A 24,717-nucleotide genomic window follows, 5' to 3' on the forward strand; every position below is an offset into this window, starting at 1 on the left:
TAGTCAACTAGTTATAAAATGTCTCATCTCTAATGACCCTCAGGAGCTCTATGTGCTTGTGAGAGAGTGAAGAAAACAGGCATTTAAAACGTTGAGTTTTCTCCACGTTCAGTAGTTTGGTGGGCCACCTCATGATACCATTCTAAGGAGGCGAAGGCTTAAGATTTGATTTTTAAACAGAGACAGAGAAAGGCTGTTCCAAGGCAACAGATGGGTACGGGCCAACCGAGTAAGCATTTTTCAGATGTGTTCTGTGATCACACAGGGCTCCAGGGGAAAAGTGCTGAAGATCATCCAGAGCAGGGCACTCCCCCAGAAGGAAAAAGACTCAGAGTTAATGTTCTCCAGATAAGAAGCAGTTCATTTTTCTCCATGAAGGACACATTTTTTTTCCATTGATGATTTCAGCACAAAAACTGTCAACCAAACCTTTTTGCCTCTTGTGAACATTGCCCTTCTAGAAAGTCGGCAAACTAACGAAACACTTTGTAGCTGTCCTTCAACAGTATCTAGAGTGATACTGCAGTTATCCAGGTCATCTTTGTTCTGTTTAATACACAGGACTCTTTATTATTTCATTATGTATCATCCTATCATTTTACCTTGAGGGTTAACCATTCCTGTTATGCCATACTTGCTCTTCTTTCCCTGAATCTGTTACAAGGGAGATTGTCCCTATGTTTCAGTTGAATAGGAGAGTAATACTGCCTTTTAGGAAAGTGATGAAGTTGAGGCCTGGATTCATGAGACTCTTGAGGCCAAGCATTTGAAAATTGAGAATGGTTTTGTTGGAGTTCCAAATCAGGAACCAATTCTATCTTTTTACAAATATATTTTTGAGTTCTTGGGTTTGGGAGGAACAGAGGCTCTCTTGGATCATCTTTGTGTGTGTGTGTGTGTGTGTGTGTGTGTGTGTGTGTGTGTGTGTGTGTGTTGGGGAGGGAGCTGTTATGGGGATATGTGTGGTCTGAAGCACACCTGGAGATAATAAGATCTGAGCAGTGCTAGGAACCTGCCAATGTCTTGGTGTCTTTTTCGTGGTCTTCTTGGCCCTCTCATTTCGTATTTACTGCATTCTTATTCCCTTATTACCAGTTGGTCAGTCTCCTCTGATTCTCTATCCCAAATTAAATAAGAGCCAGTTTTATTGCCCTTGCTAATTAGCATTTACTCCATTGTTAGAATCTCCTGTTAGGATGCCTAATGCATCACCAGGAAGCCTTTAGATGGGCCACCCTATCACAGTTAACCACTTCCATTCTATTGGTTTTTTGTGGCTCCTCTGTACAAAAAACAGCCTAGTGTTGCTGCCCTGAGCATGAAGGTTAATATCCAAGACATGGAGACTGGACATTGAATTGAGTAACTTCTTAAGCTTTTTTTATATTTCTTTTGCTGTATTTACTTTATGTTAAAGTTAATTCACATTTTCATTGAAAAAATTTTTAATATGCAAAACTTGAAAAAGAAAAGGAAAACTATAGTTCATCACCCGCATATAAAGTATGACTATCTTGCTGATTATTTTCCAGTCTTTGTGCATAGTTTCATATAGTTGATTAATGTGTGGCTTTATATTTTTTGTTTAACATTAGAGCACAGTTTTCCTCATGTACATAAATATTCTTTCAAAATGATTGTAATTCATTGCAATATATCATAGTATAAATATACTGTATATACATAACTAATGTTCAACACTTAGATGGTTTCATCATTGCTTGTTAAAGTTTATCATCACATCAGATAATTTTATTAAGACAGATTCTAGAAGTTTTCTTACAGAATCAAAAAGAATAAGATTTTTAAAGCTTTTAATATGTACTGTCAAATTGTTTTTCTGAAAGGTTGCTACAGTTTTTACTGTCACCAGCAGTGTATAAGGGAGCCTGTCTTGCTGTACTTTCATAGCATTGGATGACAGCATTTAAAAATGAGTCTCACTGTGTTTAAAAAAAAAAAGGTGCTTTCTTTGTTTTATTTATATCTGGTTACTTATCCTAGTGATTATTCTGCTATTGTTGCTGAAGGGAAGTAATTGAAACCCTAGCCATGCCTATGCAGAACAATTTGCCTTTCAGTTTTGACCATGTGAGACGCTAATCCAATGAACATTGTGTCTCCTCTAGCCTTCATACACCGAATTCGACATCAGTGGCAACGTCCTCGCTCTGATCTTCAACCAAGGCATGATCTGGTAGGCCAGCTGTTGGACAGCTTATCACTTACAGAAAAGCCTCCCAGGTTATTTTTGCATACAGCATTGAATCCTGGTGTTAGAGGAGAATACAATCGGTGTCTAACTCCATATTTACTTTTGCAAAGTGGATGCCTGTATATAGTTTCCTTTTCTTTCATATCTTAAATGTCAGTCATCAAAGGTGTCTCTCTGTTTTGCAAAGCACTTCTTCATCAAATAATGGGAGTCTGTGTTCTGGTTAGCAGATTTATTTGAGGACTATATTTTTATATTTTGTGACGCCAGGATCTAATATTAAAACATTAATAATTACATTACCACATGATAAGTATGAAATAAATTAACATAAGGCCTTTCCGAGAGACCGAGTTTATTTTGTTGTCACTACTAAATATATTTAAAATGTAACTTATAGCTACTTTTAAAAATAATACCTTATCAAATCCAATAGTTTATCGAGATGAAACGCATGTTTTAGGAAGGTCGAGTTAAAATATGATCTTCATTTTGTAACTTGTTTTATAGGGCCATGGCACATCAGAATTATTTTTTTTGATGTGTGAAGGGTTGTCATATCTTTTATCAAATTAGAGCATTCTCACTGTAAACTTGACAGGTTAAGATGAGTCGATACAGTAGAAATCGTTTTTGAGTTTAAAAACTGAATCACGACATCCGATTCATCTGGGGACCATGTGTCTTGGAAATCTGTCACTTCAGATTTCCAGCCTACAAGCAGTTACAATAAGGCTACTTTATCCTGGGGACATGTGCCTAAGACAATATTATGCTGCCAACCATACCATTGTCCTATTCACAAGTGCCGGTATAGACTCAGTTTTTGAACAAGTTTCATATATTGTACCAATAGATCTGTCCTGAATTATTAAACCTTTGGGTGCTGACAGACACCGGACCCCTCTGCAAATGCTAAAACCGTCTTGCTTCTGTCACACAAAGACAACTCTCCAGGGCTCCATCGTCCTGCCATGGGATGACTGTTAAATTCCTGTGCCTGACTAGGTGAATCAATATGGAAAAGATATTATAAAAATATTGTTTCCTCCTTTGTCAGGTAGGTTTAAAAATCTAATTTTTATTCCCTTCCTTTCTAAATTTTCCAAGTATGACTCACATGTCCAGACTCACTAAGGAAGGAAATGCATCCTACATTTTCCAAGCAGGGAGGAAAGTCAAGGTGGCCCGAGGAACGTCTACTGACACAGAAGTAAAGGGAGCAGCTTCTGTGGGTTCTGAGCTTTCATTTCCTGGAGTTCAATTTGCTGTTATGGCAGAAAATGGCTAACACGGCTATGGGAGTAATGAGAAACCACTGTTCTATCAGTGGCTTTTACACAAAGTGTCATAAATCCTTCAGGCCTCATGGGTACCATTCACGCAGACATATGCTGCACGTCGATTGTGTTCTTTCAGAGTTAAGACAACAGATTGGTCTAGAAATTTGTTTTTATTGTCAGAAAAGCTGTTATAATGGCTGTCCTGCTTGGTTTCACTACTGATTTTGCAACTATGTTAGTCCACTATTGTTCATATTGAAATTCTTAAATATCTAACATGTTTTTCCAGTTCTCTCGTGGGCAGATCCATTATCAAAATCTCTGCACTGTCTTTTTCTGTTTATTAATTCTTCAGACAGTGGTCAAGCTTGCTTCTGGCTAATTTGAAGAGAATATTGAGTTTTTTGAGCATACAAAGATATTCACACACTTTCCAAAGTTCCAGAAGCAAACTGACCATTATTCTATTATTCACCTTCACGTCAATGCTTGGCACAAATATTCTTTTCCTAACCCTAGGAGGCTGATGAGGGAGGGGGATGTCATGTAGAGGGAGGTGTGGGGCAGGTGTAATGTAAAATTAGTAGGCTGACTCTGCACAAAGGTCCTCACACACAATCGTTCCATTATTTTATGAAGCATGAGGATATAATGCCTGAGCTTAACCATTTTCTACAGAAACAATTAAAAATGTACGGGGATGTTTTATTCAATTCCATTGGCTTGTGACTGGAGATATTGAATTACTCCTTTAGGAATCGCTGAGTAGTGGAGGTTATTTACGCAGATGTTGTTAACATCAACATTTATAGATAAAATCCATTTTGCTATGATTTGGTTGAATGATTAGTAACCTTTATTTACGCACTTATTTTTTGAAATACACATGATAGTTTCTGTGCTAATATTTTTAAATGATGAAAGCACAGAATATCTTTATCATAGCAGGATATTGAGAAATGGCAGAGAACACACAGTGAGAGAGAAAATGAGTTTTGGACATTGCTCCAACACTGCTTCACTGGGTACTCTCCCGCCAGGTTTATCACCTTTTTTTCTTCACTTTCTCAGTTGATCAGATGTGAATAATTTACCTGACATGTACATGTCGCTGATGTAATAAGGAGAGTTAAATAAAAGAAGCTTTCATTTTCTTTGATCTTCCAGGAAGAAAAGAATTTTATAAGGCTAAAGTGTTACAATGATTTTTACTGACAGATGATGGGATCATGCCTGGGTAAGGGACTTAGTGAGCCGAGCTGATTAGTAATGCATGAGTAAAGATAGGATGAGCATTAACATTCGGATATTATTATGCCAGGACTTATTTTTCTAGCTTATGGCTCTTGAGTTATTTGTTTAAAATGTCTTTGTGATACTTATTTTGAAATTTTGAAATTTATTTATAGATGTATACACAAATAATAAGCATATACATACAAACAATGTGCACGTATATAGGTACAAATATATGTGGTTTTAGGCAAGTCTCGATTTTGAATTACGTGCAAAATTATATTTTAGAATTGATCAGGTTATGCAGCAATGAAACAACCTCAAAATCGTAGCAGCTCATAAAAGGAACATGTTCAATGTGGGGTGGAAGAAGAGCTTTGCTCTTAGAACTTACCTTCACTTTAGAGACCCAGACTGATGGAATAGGATCCATCTGAAACATTGCTATCACACTAGCAGAGAATGAAGAGAAGGAAAACCACACAGGACTTTTAAAGTTTCTACCCAGCAGTAAGGACCTAATTTCTATTCATACTTTATTGGCCAAAACAAGTGATGTCACCACCTGATTTTTAGGAAGACTCAAAGTGTATTACATCAACATGTATTGGTATTGGGGAGTATAATCTAGTGCTTTGCAATTCTAACCCATTAGCTGGGACTATCACTTGCTTACTTGCTCACTTTTTTGGCGTTCCCTCTCTCTTGCTGTCCTGTAACAAAAGTATACTGTATTGTTTTAAAATCTGTCTTCTCATTAGAAAAAAATAGTTTAACTTCCTACAAAGTCTTTGTTCAATTCATTATGGTAAAATATCATTCGTATCTATTGTCCGAAATCTTGTCAACAAGACAGCCCAAATTGTGACAATATTCCACTTTTCAAATAAATGAGTTAACTTTGGGTTGGCAAAAGTTCAATTATAGTGGAAACTAATTTCTTCATCTAAATTAAAAATGTCTCTATAATGAACCAAATTTACGTTGGATTGGCTAAACAACTATTCAGGGAGTACAAAATGCTAAACCTAGCTATAAATGTTGAGGGCTTCATTATAGATAGGACAGTTTAAAAGACAGGGCTCCCCTTACATTTTTAAAATAAGTGCACATATATCTTCTTTTTGATTTTGAAATAATAAATTGCTATTTATATTGATTTATGGTGCTAATGAATTTTCTCATCCAAGAAGAGTGAAACTTATTTTGTTGAAATAATCAACTAAGCCATCAAGTAAAAGTGACCACACCTAAGTTGTTCCCACCTAAAAGTAGTATTTTAAAATGCTTATAAAAACTCAGATGCACAAAGCAGAGAATTCCCAAGACAAGCTAAAGTAAGAAAGTAAACAGATAAACTAAATTTAAATAAATGTGTGGAATTTTCATCTCAAAAACCTATAAGCTAGTTATAAATTTTCAATAAAACCCTATTTTAGGAGGCACAAACACATCATTGCAATTGGCTTTAAAACACCATATCACCTACAAAGAGAAAATGATCAACATCAGAAAGAGAAAATTTATTTTAATTTTTTTCTTTCATTAAGCAAAAAACTTTTTTCATTTGTACAGTCGTGGCCCACTGCAACCTTGACCTCCTGTCATTAAGCAAAAACTAATTATTCATGACAGAAGTGATTAATGCAAATGTACAGTTTTTTTGAGTAGAAGAAGTGACTTTAAGGGTTAATTATTTTTAACAAGTTATATTTATAGGTGTATTAGTCAATGATATAAGTGTTGGGGAAAGTTTATTTTAGAATTAGAAGAAAGAAGTAAAACAATTGTAAATATTGTTTACTCTGTTGTAGTTTAAATTCACTAATGATAGTAGGTATAGTTAGTTACAGCATCCTTTCTATGAAATAATTATGATATGCAATTCCTACAATAATGGGGAAAGTGGCAAAATGTGTTTAGAAGTTGGAAATAGATAAGTGCAGTTTCTTTATGAAAAGGGTTTGTCTGGTTGAAAGTGGCAGTGTATTTTCTGCCTTTGGAAAAGAAGCATGATGTCAAATAAACAGGTGCAGTGTGACTTTGTTATGGAGTAAAGACTCAAAACTGAGCAGAGTTCTGTTTTCTTTCTAGGATGGGCTCCTTCTTTGCTCCCAGCCTCCCAGGCATCAATATCCTTCGACTCCATACATCCATGTACTTCCAGTGCTGGGCCGTTATGTGCTGCAATGTTCCTGAGGCCAGGGTCTTCAAAGCTTCCAGATCAAATAACTTCTACCTGGGCATGCTACTGCTCATCCTCTTCCTGTCCACAATGCCTGTCTTGTACATGATCGTGTCCCTCCCACCATCTTTTGATTGTGGTCCATTCAGGTCTCTTGCTTTTGAAATTTGACTCAGGCATCGTGTTCTTTCGGGGGTGGAGGTGGGAATGGTCATTCATTGTATAAGCTATTTTTTCCCCCCAAACAATGACATTTTTGGTTGGTGGAAATGAGATCCCGGCTGGGCGCAGTGGCTCATGCCTGTAATCCCAGCACTTTGGGAGGCTGAGGCAGGCAGATTACCTGAGGTCAGGAGTTCGAGACAAGCCTGGCCAACACGGTGAAACCTCGTCTCTACTAAAAATACAAAGAAAAAAAAATTAGTCGCGTGTGGTGGTGGGTGCCTGTAATCCCTGCTACTTGAGAGGCTGAGGCAGGAGAATCACTTGAGCTCAGGAGGCGGAGGTTGCAGTGAGCTGAGATGGTGCCATTGCACTCCAGCCTGGAGGACAAGAGCAAAACTCTGTCTCAAAAAAAAAAAAAAAGAAAGAAATGAGATCCTTTGGGTATTCAGGTTCAATAGGTGACATGGAGATTCTTAGGCAAGTTCTGTCTATTTCCTCATTTGGGAATCATAAAAGAGAAAATACTTTATACTTTTCCAGGCTCTGCCTGGGTAAAATATGTATGGTGAATCTGAGCTGTTTCCATGTTAGAGGATAGCTAAGAGCAAGGTCTGATGACAGTGGTCTGGATGTGAGTTTGCCTGACTCTGGGCCGTCACATCCAGACGTGGTCAGCTATCACTACTTCTCTTGTGCATTACTACCTTAAAAAGAGAGAGAGAGAGACAGACAGAGAGAGAGAGAATACCCCACACTTTACCTAGGAAAGAGAATTATTACTAAATACTAATGAGCATAAGGAGGGCCACCCAATTTGTTATCCAAAATATCACATGCTAGTGAAAAAAATTAAGGCTGTTCCACATATATATTCTCTCCTAATTATCATTCAAGTCAGGAATCGAGAGTCACAACGGCTCCTTGATCCAATTTAGAGATACACATTTCTACAGTTCTCTATGACAGAGCTCTCTTCTCTCTATGACACATATCAGAAACCTAAGTCCCTGGGATCTGGAGGATGAAGTTTCTTTCCCTAAAGGGCCTTAGAAATGAATCTACTACAAGTTCTCCCAAGAATCTCTGCATGTTGATTCACTGGCCAGCATGCACTTGAGCTGTTTCTCCTTTTCAGTGAAGGAAATGAGACTGTAAAAAGCCATGTGAATGATATGCATGATGCTGTAATGCCCACATATAATTCCTCCATTATGTTGTCAGACCCAAGTTATTTAATTAAAGTCAAAAGGTTCATTGCTGACAGACTAAGTATATAAGAGACATTTTCACTCTTAACAGTAGTCTGAGTTATTGCTTTGCTGGAAAACAAGAAAATGTTAAGCCAGCTGATCGAGTTAAACTAGCTGGACCTCTGTCTACTCAGAGAACTGATGTTGAGAAGCTCTGTTAATTCCGTTGTGTGTGTGTGTGTGTGTGTGTGTGTGTGTGTGTGTGTGTGTGTGTTTCCAAGTGGGCTGAAATAAATAATGCAGACAGTGACATCTGGAGACTAAATATGAAATTACAGTCTTGATGAGACATTCGTCTCAATAAATTCCGAACCAATCTCAGAGTACAAAGTTCAAGGAATATGCCATTCAAAGGCTTTAGTTAATTGCAAATTATTCACACTACTTATTATCCAGGATAAGTTTAGGTGTGCATTAAGCTATTAATTGGAAGTTGATCCTTCTCAGTAAAACATAGCAAAGGACCCTAGCTGCCTGTAAGGGAAACCACACAATGTAAACATGGATCTCCACAGATGCATTCAGATTTACAATACGTCTTAGACATGAACAATAGTTGCACAATTTCAGCTTCTTAAGCCCTAACTCTTCTGGCTTTCCTAATTGGCAAACTTAGGCAAAATTATGGCATGTAAATCACTATTTTGAAATCAGGGAAATTTATTTTTTATTTTTAAAATTATTTATTTGTTTTTTAATTTCCATAGGTTATTGGGGAACAAGTAGTGTTTGGTTACTTGAGTCAGTTCTTTAGGGTGATTTGTGAGAAATCAGGGAATTTTAAATATTTTCAATGGAGTACTGGGAAGGGTTATCTCTATGCTATTTAGATTTTTTTTTTCATGTCAGTTTCCTCACTTTAGAGCCAAAGGATGTTTGCATTGTTTATTTGTCTGGACTTAAAAGTTTGAAAGGATTGTCCTGCTCTAGAAATGAGGTGAGAATGCTTGTATGCTTGTACTAGTGGGTGCCTCATAGCTTGTCATCTTTATGAACCCCAAGTTTTAGGTGATTTGCTTAACCTTCCTGGTGAAGGTTGTCTGACTCTATCTAGATCCTGGGCAAGCAGGAATTTAGGAAATATAAATTTGAACTAGGTTACTGGAGGTATCACAGTGATGGCTAGTTGCTCTCCAGTGTAGGGAAGTTTTCAGGTAAGATGGCTATAGTATATTTATCCATTCAGTAAAGCAATTTGATGAGATATTCTAGCTTGTCTGGTTTTATAAGACCTGGCTAGAGAGGGTAAATTTTCCAAGAAATTATTCCAATAGGCTAGTAAGTGGATTTATCGTAAATAGTTGACAATTTAAAGATGTCCAGATGAAGGCAATTCTAATTGTTCTATAGCATTTCCTGACACCTGATGTTTCCTCCCATCTATGTCAATAATTCTGAACAATTTATAGTTCTCTAGGTTTTTATATACATCCCTGCTTACATTATGACAATTTTATTTTTCATATATTTTCATCTTACTGCAAAGATAATATGTGTTTATGCTAGAAAACCTAAACATTGTAGAAATATTTTTACATGAAAAGAAACATGGCCCATAATCTTGAAAACCTGAAATAACAACTTTTTAGCATTTTATATTCTGTTTTGCCTTTCATGCATGATTTTTCATAACTGAGCTTGTACTGACACAGGATGTTTCTCAGCCTCTTCACTGGACTCACAGAGGGGCACCCTGTCTACTCGGCCTGCTGTGCTTAACCCCTTGTGGGAGGAAGCACGTGGGCAAGTGAGTGCGGGATCTGGCGAGACACACTGGGCACTGACACAGGAGCAAGCTCCATGTGGGGCCCGTGGCCAGACCAGGTGTGTCACCTTGAGGAGAATGCAATGGTGCCCAAGTGCCTATGACCCTAAAGCCCCAGAGGGGGTGTTACAATGCTTCCTGAGTTCCACCATCCTCAGCCTGATGGATGGCAGTGTCTTAGCAGCTCAGTTGGCCCCTTGCCTCATCATGTGGGGCAGCTGCCCTCCACTGGAGAGGGCAAAGGGCCAGTGTGACAGTCTTTCCTGGGTTCCCACAATCGGTGGGTCCCAAGCTCTTGTCCAGCATCCAAGAAGAATGAGGTCACATGGATTATTGAAGGATGGTGAAGGAGGAGAATTTTATTGAGTAATGAAATTGGCTCTCAGCAGAGAGGGCAGTTGGAGAGGGGCCAGGAAGGGCAGGTCATCTTCCCCAAAGTCAGGTTGTCTCTTCTCCAAAGTCAGGCCGACTCTTCCCCAAAGTCAGGCCGTCTCTCCCCTCTACCAACTGAGTCTGTGGTCTTTATAGGCACAGGATGGAAGTGTGTGCTGACTGGTTTGTGAGTATGCAAAAAAGGCTAAAGTGAAGGTGTCACTCAAAGGTAGACACGACAGTATAGAAACCCAACTAGGAAAGGGTAGGTATATGTAAAATAGGTGAAGGGTGGGGATGAATCAGAGGAAAGTGCGCCAAACAGGAAGACAAGTTCTCAATCCGGTCTGAGGATTTAACTTGGACCTTGGCTTTCAGGCTTTAAACTGTCTTTGGCTTGGAGGTGGCATTTCACCAGGTACCTGCCCCTATCTGCCTAGGCATTTGGCTGCCTCCTGTTGCTATCAGTATACTAGGTGCAGGTTTTTTAGTATTAAAAGTTAAAATTATATTGTGAGACTGCTATTATATTGGTCATTTGCAATCATGCTTTATGCATCTATTTTTCTTAATAGTTTAGCTGACTTCTAGAGATTGGGGATAGAGAAGTTTCCTCTCTGTGGATCTAGGACACAGTAAAGTGCTGGTCAATAATTTGAATGAATGAATGAATAATGACTGCTTATTGTGCACTAAGCACTAGAAGAGACACAGGGTTAAGTCCATGCATTAAGCATTGATTCTGGTCCTGTGGCACTTATCACCCAGCTGGGAAGACAGGCCTCCTCATAAACTGTTCTAATCTAGAGTGGCGCTATGCCTACAGCAGGACTATGGATAGACACAGACAACTGGAAAACAATTCTGAGAATATTGTATGATAGCATACTTTGGCTAACCTGGCAGGAGAAGGCATTGCCAGGGACATGTAGATGCGTCCATAATTTGTACGTAATTAAGATATCTGGACTCCTTTCTTTGGTAAAAGACCTGACCTGAAAAAGGTACACAGGAATCCCCAGGGACTTAGCAACTTTGCTTTGGGTCACACTGGATGCTGAGAAGGCCTTTGTGTGTAGGGATAATTTCATAAAATTTGAATGCCCCCACTCTAACTACGTTCATCAGCTATGACCTGAGGTGCTGGAGAAGGGAGGATAGATGGTCTTATCTTTTTTGGTACTTTTAATTTATCTGCTTATCCTGTATTCCATCTGGCTGGGGCTGCATTGGGGGGTATGAACAATTTGGAATGGTGAAAAATAAAACATATTGGAATAGGGAGTTATAATCTTATATTGCTTGTAAGCTTCATTCCCTCTTATGTATCATAAGTCTTGAAAATTAGAGTGTAGATCTTTAATTTGTGAAGCAAAACTTGTACCTCTGTAGTCCAATGACTACTGACAAAATATATGGAGTCACTATGTCTGCTGGAAGATAGTATTGGTTAGACCAGGAGAAAAAAACCATAATCTGGGACTTGCGTGTCATTGTTATTTAGTAGTTGAAAATGCTTAAAGATTAAAATACAAAAGCAAAACTAAACATTGTATTAAATGTTGCACCAACATTTATTCTGATGATGCATACAATTTGGTGAAACCCAACCCAAATCTCTTCTGAAAATTACATCTTTTCGTAGTACAATCAGTATGCATATACAGAGAAAATAATGATGTAATGAATATTTTGAATATTATGGTACAATTCTAGCTATTCCTTAGTAAGTCAAGACATCCTGTTCTCAGTTTTCTAGTTTATAGGAGCTGATACTTGCCTTCATGGAGCTTAGCAGTGGAGCTAAGCTGGTATTCATTAGGGCCTGTCCAGGAGAAGAAACTGAGAGGGAAAAAACCCATGATTCGGTGTGGTTACCTTACCTATTAACATATCTGATGAAGGAAGTCTGGTGGAAAATGAGGTGGAAGCTATTGCGTGGAAAGAGATATTGGATTATATGTGGATTTTATTCCACTGGGCTATTCCTTGCTCTCATTTCCAAGGCTAATTAAAAATACTTAGCTCAAAGAGAGTGTTCTCCTACAAGAGCAGCTGACTGAGAGGCAGACTTATGAGCTATTTACAAAATATATTTCAATCAAAATCTTAGAAATACAGTTTTTAAAAATCTTCTCCTAAATATGTGGTTAATTTTCTAACTGCTTTGACTATATGTTTATACTGGGATCATATTTCTCGTATCTTACCCATATATTGACTACATGAGGTCAAAGTGTCAGCAAGTTGTAGCTAAACATCAGATTCCTACCCTGAAAGAGGACCTAAGCAGTAATTGAGAAAGATTTCCAGTTTTCTTGCTTTAACCATGGTTTTTCCATATGTTCTTAATAAACTTATCTCCCCCTTTTTAATTCCCCCAGTGGCAAAAATAGAATGTTTGAAGTCATTGGAGAGACCCTGGAGCACGATTTCCCAAGCTGGATGGCGAAGATCTTGAGACAGCTTTCAAACCCTGGGCTGGTCATTGCTGTCATTTTGGTGATGGTGTATGTGCTTTTCCTCCTCATAGAAAGAGCCTCTGTGATGTTCTTCCTGGCTGTTTTTACATTTCAGCTTTTTCAGCTCTCTCACTCTCCCTAAGGGTTCTGCTGTAACCTATCCAAATTCAACACTGATTACATGGTGGTGAGAGGCTAAAATTCATGAGCCATATTCTGATCCTATTGGATGTAATTCACAGGCATCTGCATCTGTCTTTGCTTCCCCAGGATTATAAGATTTGTTCCCAAGTAACCACAATAATTATCCATAAACAGCTAAAGCAAGGGAAACATAAATGCTAAATGCTAAATCTAATCAGTACATTGAGCTTCCCCCCAACAACCCGGCCTCCACCTCTCGTTCCATAAAGCAGATGGCAATGAATATACAGAAATAATGATCCTCTAAGTTAATATTCCCCTTGGGGGCCCTATAGACTATATTTTAGGGGCAAGGGCTTCAAGGGTCTTAAAAATTTCACTGTCCTTGTTGTTAGAGGGCCGCCAATAACTGTGTGTTCACGATAATAGAATCAGAGGACCAGAGGATCTTGGGAAGTTCCTGTAGTCTGTCCCTTCAAAGTCAGAAGTGATTTCCAAAGGGGAACTTGTCAGATGACTTTTGTTTTCACATAACTTTCATTGGCTTCTGACTCTTGGCCATCACAGATAAACTTAGATTCTAAGTAAAAGTACAGATTTGCTGTGGAAGAGCCAAAAGCAGCGTCCATCTCTTCCTTTCAGTCCCTGAGTGCCTCCTACATAGAATGTCTGGAGCTGCCACGACTCTCAGTCAGTGGGTAAATATTAAACAGCCCCAGGGACACTTTAAGAACAAAGTTGATGCAAAGGATTTGGTTCATTTAAATAAAGGTAAAACAAGGAAATCTCAGGGAGAAAACTCCCAGTGGTTTGCAGTAAATGAGCAGGGATTGTGACCCAGTTATTGTCGTGATCACAAGCCACATAAAGTAGTGAGGGCAGGTTTATCTTCTTCAATTTTATAACCTAAGAAATTGATTTACACAAAGAAAGTGATTTTCCCTAGACAAGAGAGAGAGTAAAATGGTCATAGAAGGACCTGAAGCAGATCCTTTCACAGTAAATCCAGTGCTCACTTCTTTATACTGCGAGGCTTTCTGTGAGGGAGAGCTAATAACCTGTAGGGATAATTAAACAGTAAATCAGATTACCATTATATATTACATAACCTTGATAATGGGGTGCTATTAAGAATCTGATAGTAAATCTCTGGCACAGATGCATTAGAAAATGACCTACTGAATGCAGCATGTTTCACCAGATGGCCTTTGAAACAATTTTCTTTCTCTACATGTCCATGATACAGTGGCTTCTGAGAGCATGTTAATCAGTATCCTGTGGCCTTTGAGAGTCAAGGCCCTTTAGTGGTATGAATGAGGTGTTGTTTAAAACACACACACACACACACACACAATGTAAATGTCAGATTTCGTTACCATATTCTTACTTGATTAGGAGACATGTTTATTTTTAAGTGAAGGAGTGGCATTGTTCAAATGCCTTAATCCAAAGATTTAGTAATCAGTCCTAAGAGGGTTTAAAAGGAATTCACACTGCCTTTGTTTCAGGTACTATTTACACACTGACTCATTTAATTCCCATAACAGCTTTGAGAAGCTGGCTTCATTAATCATACTATCAATAACACATTGAAATTCTGCCCCAAGTCAAGTGACTAAGTGGAACTGAAACTCATGTCTTCTCCTTATTTCCTACACTCACTTGCAGCACCAAACAGGGATCAGAATCAGTGGGAATTTCAGATGGGCTGAAAGCCACTTGTCCGAGGTGGTATAGACCCAGGGTCAGCACACTTTTCCTAATTCGAGGGCCAGAGGCAAATTAGGCCAAGAGGCAAAATTGAGGCTCTTAATTAAGTAATTACTAATAATAACCGTTTAAAAGACAGAAAAACCATTCTTAATTCATGGGCCATACAAAACAGTCTGGCAGTCATCTTCATCCTGCAGGACCTAGTTTGCTTTGATCTGGACAGCCTGGAGGAAAGCTGGCCCCATGCAAATGTCAAATAGATGTACTGAAAGGTTGATTGTGGCTCTGAGGTTCTGATTTAAAACCCAGATTTTAGCTTATTACTGAGTATATTTTTTCAAATTCTGAGATCTCATCTTCTATTTTTGGGGCCCATACAATTGGCTTAGCTTTTTATTACCTTTAATTAGAGAATTGTACTAGTATGTTGAATTTCCCCCAATGGATTATATTAAATCAACCTGGATGGCTTTCGGGTATCTAAGCAGAGTTCAGGTTAGTTCTCTGCAGGCAGTTTCATTCCTTTGGAGACTAGAAAAAGATTTGTGAGGAATACTTATTTAACGTGCATTACAAGGTAGAAAATCATGGTGGATAAATAGAGAATTCCAGAACTTGAAAGGACTTGTGAAATCTTTGAGTTCATCTTCCAAATCCAGGAACTTTTCTAAGAAAATCCTTATAATACACACCACACACAAACACACACACACACAAACATTTATTGAGCACCTATTTCATGCCAGATATTGCCCTGCATGCATTTATGTATGTAATTTTAGTAAAACTCCCATCACTCATGTAAGAGATAAACAAACTCAGCCAAACCGTATCAATAATTGTGTTGCTAGCACCAGATGGTTCATAAAGGATACTGTCTTTCATTTTGGGGAGTAGAGGAAATGTGTTCAATATCCAGTTATTTGCAGCAAAGAGTAATATAAGTTACCTTTTTTACTGCATTTCTTCTTTGTTTGTTTGTTCGTTTTGCCTTAAGTGAAGATAAGCATATTTATTTTTACAGAATTGTCTGGCTAGAATTTGCCCTTTCTAGAATGTAAATGTCATTTAAAATCCAATAATATTCCTTTATACAACGTTTTCTTTTTGAGGGAGAAAGAAATGCAAACAATACATTCTACGGAAAAAATTCCATGTTCATTATCTATGCCTATGAGGATTACATTCTTAGCTGCAAAGGCCAAAGGACGAAATTTAAGGCAGAAAGTCGTTTTCCTTTTTGTTCGGCATGTTCCCTAAGCTGCAGTAGGTTTTCCATTCTCTGGGATGCCATTGCCATCCATTTAAAATGCTACTTTCAATTATAATTTAAACTTATGTGAATACATTTCCAGGAAAAAGCTAATATTAGGCAGTGTGAAATAGCAGACAGAACAGGCTGTGGATCAGGAGCCTTGGGCCCCAACTTTCCAACTTCACCCCAGCTTCATCCCTATGTCATCCTGAATGTATCTCTTTACCTCTCTGGACCTCAGCTTTTATCTATAAGACAAGAGATTTAGAGTAGAAGATAGCTTAATGTTCATTCCCATGCTGATATTTCATAATTTACTTAATGTAAATTTAAGAAGTATCTTGGGGAACTGAAATATACCTTACACTGTATTTTTTTTCTTTTTAATTTAGTTTGGCCATCTATTATCTCAATGCTACTGCCAAGGGCCAGAAGGCAGCGAATCTGGATCTCAAAAAGAAGATGAAAATGGTATGATACAATTTATTTCATAGAAATATTATCTTTATTAATGTCAAGCAGTAGAAAACACTGAGAAATCTACTTTTTTCCCCTTATTTTTTATTGTGTAGCAAGCTTTGGAGAACAAAATGCGAAACAAGAAAATGGCAGCTGCACGAGCAGGTTGGAGATACGTTTATGTTTGTAATGTTTGTAATTTTTCTTTTTCTTTTTCTTTCTTTTTTTTTTTTTTTTGCTTTTTCTCCATTGGATGGTGAGTGGCATTATTGCTGTGAGCGAGTCATTCCACAATCCTTACCTTCCACCTTTTTAGCCCTTCTCAGGCATCACATCCAGGGTATTTGGTTGTTTTCTAGTGGGAGGAAAAAAAGAGAAATGAAAATGTGGGCATATAAACTTGGCAGTAGTGATTTTTAAAAGTGACCTTGAAAATGCGCAGAAAATGAAGAAATCCCCCATATAGTCGTCTACAAACAGCAGATACAAATGCAGATGCTCTCCTGCCCATGTTGACTATTTTCATACATGGAAGGATATGGCAAGAAGATCCCAAGAGGGTCCTCTGGGCTTTCCACCACTGATTGCCAGAAGCCCTTTCTAATCCATTAAACTTTCTTTTTTTAAAAACCTCTTTATTTTTTAAAGTATTAGAGTAAAGCCAACTTCTAGTTGCCAAAATTAATAATATGCTTTGAGTTCCCCACGGAAAGGTGATACCTAAGACCTTTAGTGAAAATCTTTTCCAACTTTGTCCTTACTCCTAACTTTAAAACTCTTTACATTAGTAGGACTGTTTCCCCACTGTAAGTAATAAAACACTCAAATTGGTTTAATTGAGAAAGAGTAATTTATTCGACCACACAAATGCAGGGAAATGGTATGTATGGCTTCAGGCCACTTTCTTTTTTCTATATATATATATATTTTTTAATTATACTTTAAGTTCTAGGGTACATGTGCACAACGTGCAGGTTAGTTACATATGTATACATGTGCCATGTTGGTGTGCTGCACCCATTAACTCATCATTTACATTAGGTATATGTCCTAATGCTAGCCCTCCCTGCTCCCCCCACCGCACGACAGGCCCCGGTATGTGATGTTCCCCTTCCTGTGTCCAAGTGTTCTCATTGTTCAATTTCCACCTATGAGTAAGAACATGCGGTGTTTGGTTTTTTGTCCTTGCGATAGTTTGCTGAGAATGATGGTTTCCAGCTTCATCTATGTCCCTACAAAGGACATGAACTCATCATTTTTTATGGCTGCATAGTATTCCATGGTGTATATGTGCCACATTTTCTTAATCCAGTCTATCATTGTTGGACATTTGGGTTGGTTCCAAGTCTTTGCTATTGTGAATAGTGCCGCAATAAACATACGTGTGCATGTGTCTTTATAGCAGCATGATTTATAATCCTTTGGGTATATACCCAAAGGATTTTTTTTCTTTTTTGAGACCTGGTCTGGCTCTGTGGCCCAGGCTGGAGGGCAGTGGTATGATCTCGGCTCACTGCAGCTCCAACTTCCCAGGCTGAAGTGATCCTTCCTCCTCAGCCTCCTGAGTAGTGGGGACAGCGCACACCACCATGCCTGGATAATTTTTAATTTTTTTTTTGAAGTGAGGTCTTGCTAAGTTGCCCAGGCTGCTCTCAAAGTCTTGGGCTCAGGTGATCTTCTCTTTTTGGCCTCCCAAAGTGTTGGGATTAAAAGCATGAACCACTGTGCCCAGCATTCAGGGCACTTTTTATCCTAAGTTTAGAACAGAGTCAGGTCTGAGCCCACCTCTCTGTGAATCTCTGAAGCTAAACTCCTTTCACATTGGCTGACCTTTATGGCAGCAGGAATGGATGCAGCAACTTCCAATGCCATGTCCTTAGACTGTAAAACTTCTTTCCTAGAAATTCCTCAACCTCTCCTCCTTTCAGATTGGCCCCATATGGGTCATGTATCCATCCTTGTGCCAGTCACTGTGTCTGAGTATGGTAAGTTACTGAAGTCAGTCAGGACCCATCCTTGAAGCTGGGATTGGTCTGTTTTCCTGACACATGTGAAATGCACTGGGGAGGTCACACCTACCTAAGAGAAGGAGAAAAGGATGCTGGGTGTCCCCAAACAACAAATGTTCAAGACTTGGTTTTGTTGCCTTCTTTATGCTTAGCCTTTTTTCTTTTCCCTCTCTCTATCTAGCATGCATAAATGTAAAGTTGAATGCTGGGTGCTGAATTAGATGATTACAGTGATGTACAGTTATCAGACTAGTTTTTAATGAAATTTTTAATTTTTTAAATCAATACTACATGTGTGCATAATTTAGAGTTCCATTTAGAATTTCATAATTCTATAAGGCTTATCATGAAAAACAGCATCTTCTTCTGCCTCCTACACCAGTTTTGCTCTCTTCTCCTCCCCTGCACTCAAATACCCTAAGACAAACACTTTCAATTTGTTAGTTGATTTTTAGATATTTATCTCCAAATTACCTAATTTTGTTGTAATTTCTTGACTTTTTAGTTTTAAGTATTATCTCTTAAAATTATTAACTACAATGGATATAATAATTTTAATAGATAATATTTAAACGATTTTTATACTCTTGCCCCAGTCTTTCTATGCATTCTACCTATGTAGTTATATTATTATTTTGGTTAGGCCAGTATACATTATTATGGACACACAGTCTTCACAGCTAAGCCAAGTAGTAAACTATGATACTTGTGCATACTTTAAAATTTTCTCAGGATTCATAATTCATAATTTCTCTTTTTAAACATTTTCTTATTTTTATATATGTTTCAGTGATGCATTTAATTTCCAAATCTCTGCTATTTATTGAGTTATACTCTCAATATATTCAGACATATTGGGTTATCTGTCCATTTCATTTCCTTAGAGAAATCTTTCCCAGAATCTTCTGCACTTCTCCAATTTCAACTAGTGTGTGTCTGGGATACAGCTGTCATCCTTTCATTTTTCTTCACTGTCATTCAACAGGATCTCTGTCACTTTATCCTGTTTTGGATACTGTGTTTTCCATTTTCCCCAACTTCCTCTCTTTTGGTCTGCTCACATTTTGCCAGTAAGAAAGGGTATGTGAGAGGCAAATTTTCTGAGACCATGCCTATCTGAAATTGTTCTTCTCTTACTCTCCCTTTTGACTGATAGTTTGGGGGTCAAAAATACTCATCTAATTATATTAGAAATAATATCCCTTCAAAATAGTATTTTTTCAGAGGTTTCCCATGCCTTTTAGATTCCACAATTGCTCTTGAGTAGTTTAAAGCCATTGTGATTCTTAGTCTTTCTTGAGCAACTTGTATTTTTGATTATCTGTTTGGTTTTCCAATCTGGAAAGTTCTAGGGTCTCCTTATCTGCATGTTCAGAATTTCATGATGGTGTATCTTGCATGGATCTATTTTTATTCCTTGTGTACTCATCAATGGACTTTTGCTCTTTGGTTGAAGGGAATTTTCTTGAATTGTTTACAAATTCTTTCCATCCATTTTCTGTTTTTTTTTTTTTCATGTAGAATTTCTAATTTATTTTTCATCCTTAAATTCCCTTTGTCTCTTTGCTTTACCTATGAACATTTCCTTATCTTTAAATTTTAACATTTCTCTTGGCCTTTTCACTTTTGCTATCATAATTTTAGTTTCTGCAAGCTGTTTTGTTCTTTAATTCTTCTTTTTTAAACAGCATGCTGTTTTTGTTTAATGGCTGCAATGGCTTGTTTTGTCTTTATGAGAATATTAATAACTCTTTTTGATGTTTCTTTGCCTTTGATAGTCTGTTTTCTCTAAGCTGTTTTGTTCTTCTTTCTCCCCTGCTTGGTAATTCCCCTGCTTTGTGACCCTCAGCTCATATTTCAGGGTAGGATGCAAAGGTGGGTTTCGAAGCTTTAAGCACATGGATGGGGCTTGTGGGCAGATCCTCATTGGGGGACTCTGCCTGGGCTGCCGCTGAACCCCCATGTCAGTATTTTTAGGCTTCTCCTCTTAAGCTGATCAGATTCCTCAGAAAAATTACTTCCGAACTCCTGCCCAGAGAGTAAAGATTTGCCTGGCAAATCTGTAGCACCTGAGTGGGAAAAACAACACGGGTGGGGCTCAGCTTTCAACCTACAAATGCTCACTTAGCCCCCTCTTTTTACTGCGGCACTCCTTGTGGTCTTCTAACCCAGAAGCATCTCTGTTTTACTCTTTTTAGAAAAAATTATTCCAGTCTTCTGCCAGATTAAAGGTAGTGGGGGTTGGGGAGCAATTATTCATTTGTACCAAGTGAAGCCGATCTCAGACTCTAACTGCTGCTGTTTCGTTTTTTAATAACCCCCACCCCTTTGCCCCACCAAGCTTGACTGCTTCTTAACAGCTAAAACATCCTCTTTGTATTGGTTCCTTACTTCCAGAGGTACCTGTTGCTGCAAATTACTGAACGTTTCAGAGATTTTATGTGTAAATTATGTTGCTTACTGTCTTTTTCCTCCCCTGGCTTAGCTTTTCAGTTTGTTAGAATTGATAAGTCATTATCATTAATCTGTCTGCTTTCCAGCTTCTAAAATTTTGTCATTGATGTCTCTTCCCCTATTCTCCCCCTCCTTGCAGGTTTATGCAACCTTCTCCATCTTCCTCCCCAACCCCCTCAAAATTTCTTGACTGTCATGTTTGTGAAAGGGTGAAAGTTCAATTCAATGTATTTACCTCCGCAGTTTAGGCAAACCTTTGTATTTCCTACACTAGGAGAACAATGGTTTTATGTCCATCTTCACTCTGTTCATCCCACAGTGCTTACCTGAGGTATTATTTTGAAATAGAGTCTGGGATGGAGTCTACCTTAGTGAGAATTTATTAGAATTGTTTAGTCTCTGCAGAAGATGAGGTGGTTGAAGCACATACATCACATATACTAGCAGTGCTTTTGTATAATTTAATATTATCAAATTAGTACTTAAGAATGGAAAATTCTGACTTATAAGATCTAAATTCTAATTAAGGCTTATTGTTATCTTTATTGTTTTAAATGATAATATAATGCTATAGCATGCTATTCATCTGATATTTTTTCCATAATGTGTATGGCCACCCAGTAAACACCTACTGAATATCTACTGAAAAATGAGGAACTCTTTTGTTGGAAAAATATAAAATATTCATCACATAAGCAATAATGTATAAATGTTACAAAAAAGTAGTACATTCATTCTGCCTTGTTTAGAATATGTGAAGCCTTTGCAAACTAAGAAACATGGAAATATTTTGAACATTAAAATGGTAAATATTATGGGAAAGTAGAGCACATTTGGACAATACAGATTTCTGGCCACCTCATTCAGAACCATTAAGCACACTGAAAGCTACGTTTTTATTTGCCTCCTGTTCATCTTCTCTCTCTCTCTCCTTGTTTTTTTTTTTTTTTTTTTTCTGTTTTGTGAACAGCTGCAGCTGCTGGTCGCCAGTAATAAGTATCCTGAGAGCCCAGAAAAGGTACACTTTGCCTTGCTGTTTAAAAGTAATGCAATATGTGAACGCCCAGAGAACAAGCACTGTGGAACTGCTATTTTCCTGTTCTACCCTTGATGGATTTTCAAGGTCATGCTGGCCAATTAAGGCATCATCAGTCCTACCTGAGCAACAAGAATCTAAACTTTATTCCAAGTCAGAAACTGTTTCTGCAGAGCCACTCTCTCCCCTGCTCCATTTCGTGACTTTTTTTTTTTTTTTAACAAATTGAGTTTAGAAGTGAGTGTAATCCAGCAATACAGTTTACTGGTTTAGTTGGTGGGTTAATTAAAAAAAATTTGCTCATATGAACTTTCATTTTATATGTTTCTTTTGCCTGAGTTTCCTTAAACTGAGAGCAGAAATATTTCACCCTTTTTCCTCTAAGTTCAGAAATATTTGCAAAAAGTACTCATTGTAATCATTCATTAACTCACTTTTTGAAACCAATACCTTATTTTCTCTTTTTTTCTACCTGTCTCCCCAACCACGCGCCCCACAAATATATTCCTAAAACCTTTGTATTTGGTGCTGGATTCAGTATGAAAAGAAATAGGGTTTTTAGAAGAAAAAAAAATCCTATATGAATTGGGGCCTGGATAGCACTGAGTTGAAGATCTTGAAGATCTCTTACTTTGAGAAGGTACATGAGTCTTACACAACCTAGCTTTTTATGAGATAAAATTAAAAAAAAAAGGAAAGACATCATAAATGACTGTTGTTCTCTCACAGTCTGCTCATTTGTCTTCCAATGATCATGTTATCAGTGGTGAATCCATACAGGTCTGCATCAAACTCGATACAATTCTTGCCTCCTTGGAGGGAAGAATTCAGCTGAGGGGCAGAAGTAGGTTTATGGCAGAGGGAGAGAATGAGGCAAGTTTTAGAGCAGGAGTGTAGGTTTATTAAAAAGTTTTACAGCAGGAACAAAAGGAAATAAAATATACTTGGAAGAGAGCCAAGTGGGCAAATTGAGAGTTCCAAGTGCCCTGTTCAGCTTTGACCTGGGTTTCTATACACTGGCATGGTTCTGGAGTTTGCATCTCTCCCCGCTTGATTTTTTTGGCGGATGGGCTGTCCGTGTGGATGGTGGCCTGCCGGCAGTTGGAAGGAGCTATGTGTACAATGTGTTACTGAAGTTGTGTGCCTGCTCACTTGTGACGTTTTCCCTTACCATCCAGCGTTCCTGGAGGAAGGTCATATACTAGTTAAACTCTGCCATTTTGCTTAGTGGGCATGCTTGAGCCCACTTGCCCAACTCCTAAGATCTCCGGCTCAGGTGTTTTCTATCTATTGGGAGACTGTCTTTCCCTAGCACTGGTTGCCACTAATTATTATTTTAGAGAGATAGTTTAACCACCACCTGACCATCACCAAATGGTCACCTGACATTCCTGTGGGATGGGTGGTGGGGGGCCTCTCTTGCCCTGCTTATGTTTTTATGTTTGCCTAACTACCTACTCTAACAATCATATCCTGTAAGCTTGGATTCTAATGTTCTATAATTTTTTTCTTTGCTTTTTTTGTTAAGGTCAGGAAAACACACTTCTGTTGGGGGCCTTAATTTATAGATATGTTTAAGCATTATTATGGATTTACAGTTTGAATTGACTTTAAGTAGTAACACTCAGTGCCCTCACTAGCCTTGTTGTGCGACTTTAATTGCATAGCTTAACTCAGTGTGCCTTTCCAAAACTAAGCCAATTTGCTTGCCATTCCCTGCAGTTGACTTACTGATTTCTATTATCCTGTCTCTGAGTTTCTCATTCTTTTTGATCACCAAAAGGCAGCCATAGAATAATCGCACTGTTTCCCTGCCAGTTCTAAACTTTATTCCTCTGGTTGTCTTTTTCAGATTGACTTCCATTCTCAATCTTATCACTCCCTTTTTAGGATTCCTTGGGCTCTTATGTCTGTAATTCAGAGTCTATTATTTATATTGATTTTCATGTGACTTGTAATGGTTCCTTATTATTTTTTGATGCATGGATTATCTTTCTTGTCCTTATTGTAAATTCTCTGTGAGCAGGGGTTGTATCTTCTAACTCTTTTGTATGCCTAGTATAGTGCTGTGCACAAGTAGGCGCTGAATAAATGCTTGCTAATTAAATTGAATCAATTTAACTTACAGCAATTGTGTTATGAGACAAAAACTTCTGTTACCTGCATGAAAACATTTTACTATGATGTAAGAAATGGATTATCTGTTGATAGGCTGAGTTTATTGTTTAATTAGATTATAATGCAGATGAGTAAATAAAGCTAGTGTTTATTTCTACTTGGATCATTTTTGCACTGTGTAGTAGTAAGATTAGCAAATTGATTTATTGTTTTGCCACATTTACAATGTGGATTGCACTTCCTTCTCTTGATCTATGTCACAAAGATGATGAAAGATGACAAACTGTTCCCCAAAGACATTCATCTCCTAAAGGCAATGTACTTTTAGGACGAATGTTCATGTTATAGACATTCAGACATGATATGCCGAGTTTCAATATTTCCATAAATTAAAAAATATGTTGGATTTTTATAGCACCTAAATAGTCACCTGATTTAAGTTAAGCAGCTTTTGACATTTTAACCCTTTCGGTCTCCAGAGAATTGTTGAAAATATTTTCATATTACTATATGGACAAGAATCTGAAACATGAAGACCAGTTCCAAAGCTGTTTTATGGCTATTCAGAGAATAGCCTTCCACTAGGATGATCTGAT

General features: G+C 37.8%; 1 protein-coding gene across 2 annotated transcripts in view; it reads left to right on the forward strand.

Annotated features, from left to right (window-relative positions):
- TMC1 (transmembrane channel like 1) overlaps window positions 1–24,284 on the forward strand; it is a 316,690-nt gene extending 292,406 nt beyond the window's left edge. For both annotated transcript variants that reach the window (NM_138691.3, XM_017014256.2), the window contains 6 exons: window positions 2,130–2,197; window positions 6,829–7,068; window positions 12,856–12,981; window positions 16,438–16,516; window positions 16,618–16,669; window positions 21,938–24,284. In NM_138691.3, the coding sequence (NP_619636.2) occupies window positions 2,130–2,197; window positions 6,829–7,068; window positions 12,856–12,981; window positions 16,438–16,516; window positions 16,618–16,669; window positions 21,938–21,960 (588 nt within the window). In that variant the 3' untranslated portion in view covers window positions 21,961–24,284. The remainder of the gene's footprint in view (window positions 1–2,129; window positions 2,198–6,828; window positions 7,069–12,855; window positions 12,982–16,437; window positions 16,517–16,617; window positions 16,670–21,937) is intronic.

This window comes from Homo sapiens, chromosome 9, assembly GCF_000001405.40.
Source record: "Homo sapiens chromosome 9, GRCh38.p14 Primary Assembly".
NCBI lineage: Eukaryota > Metazoa > Chordata > Mammalia > Primates > Hominidae > Homo > Homo sapiens.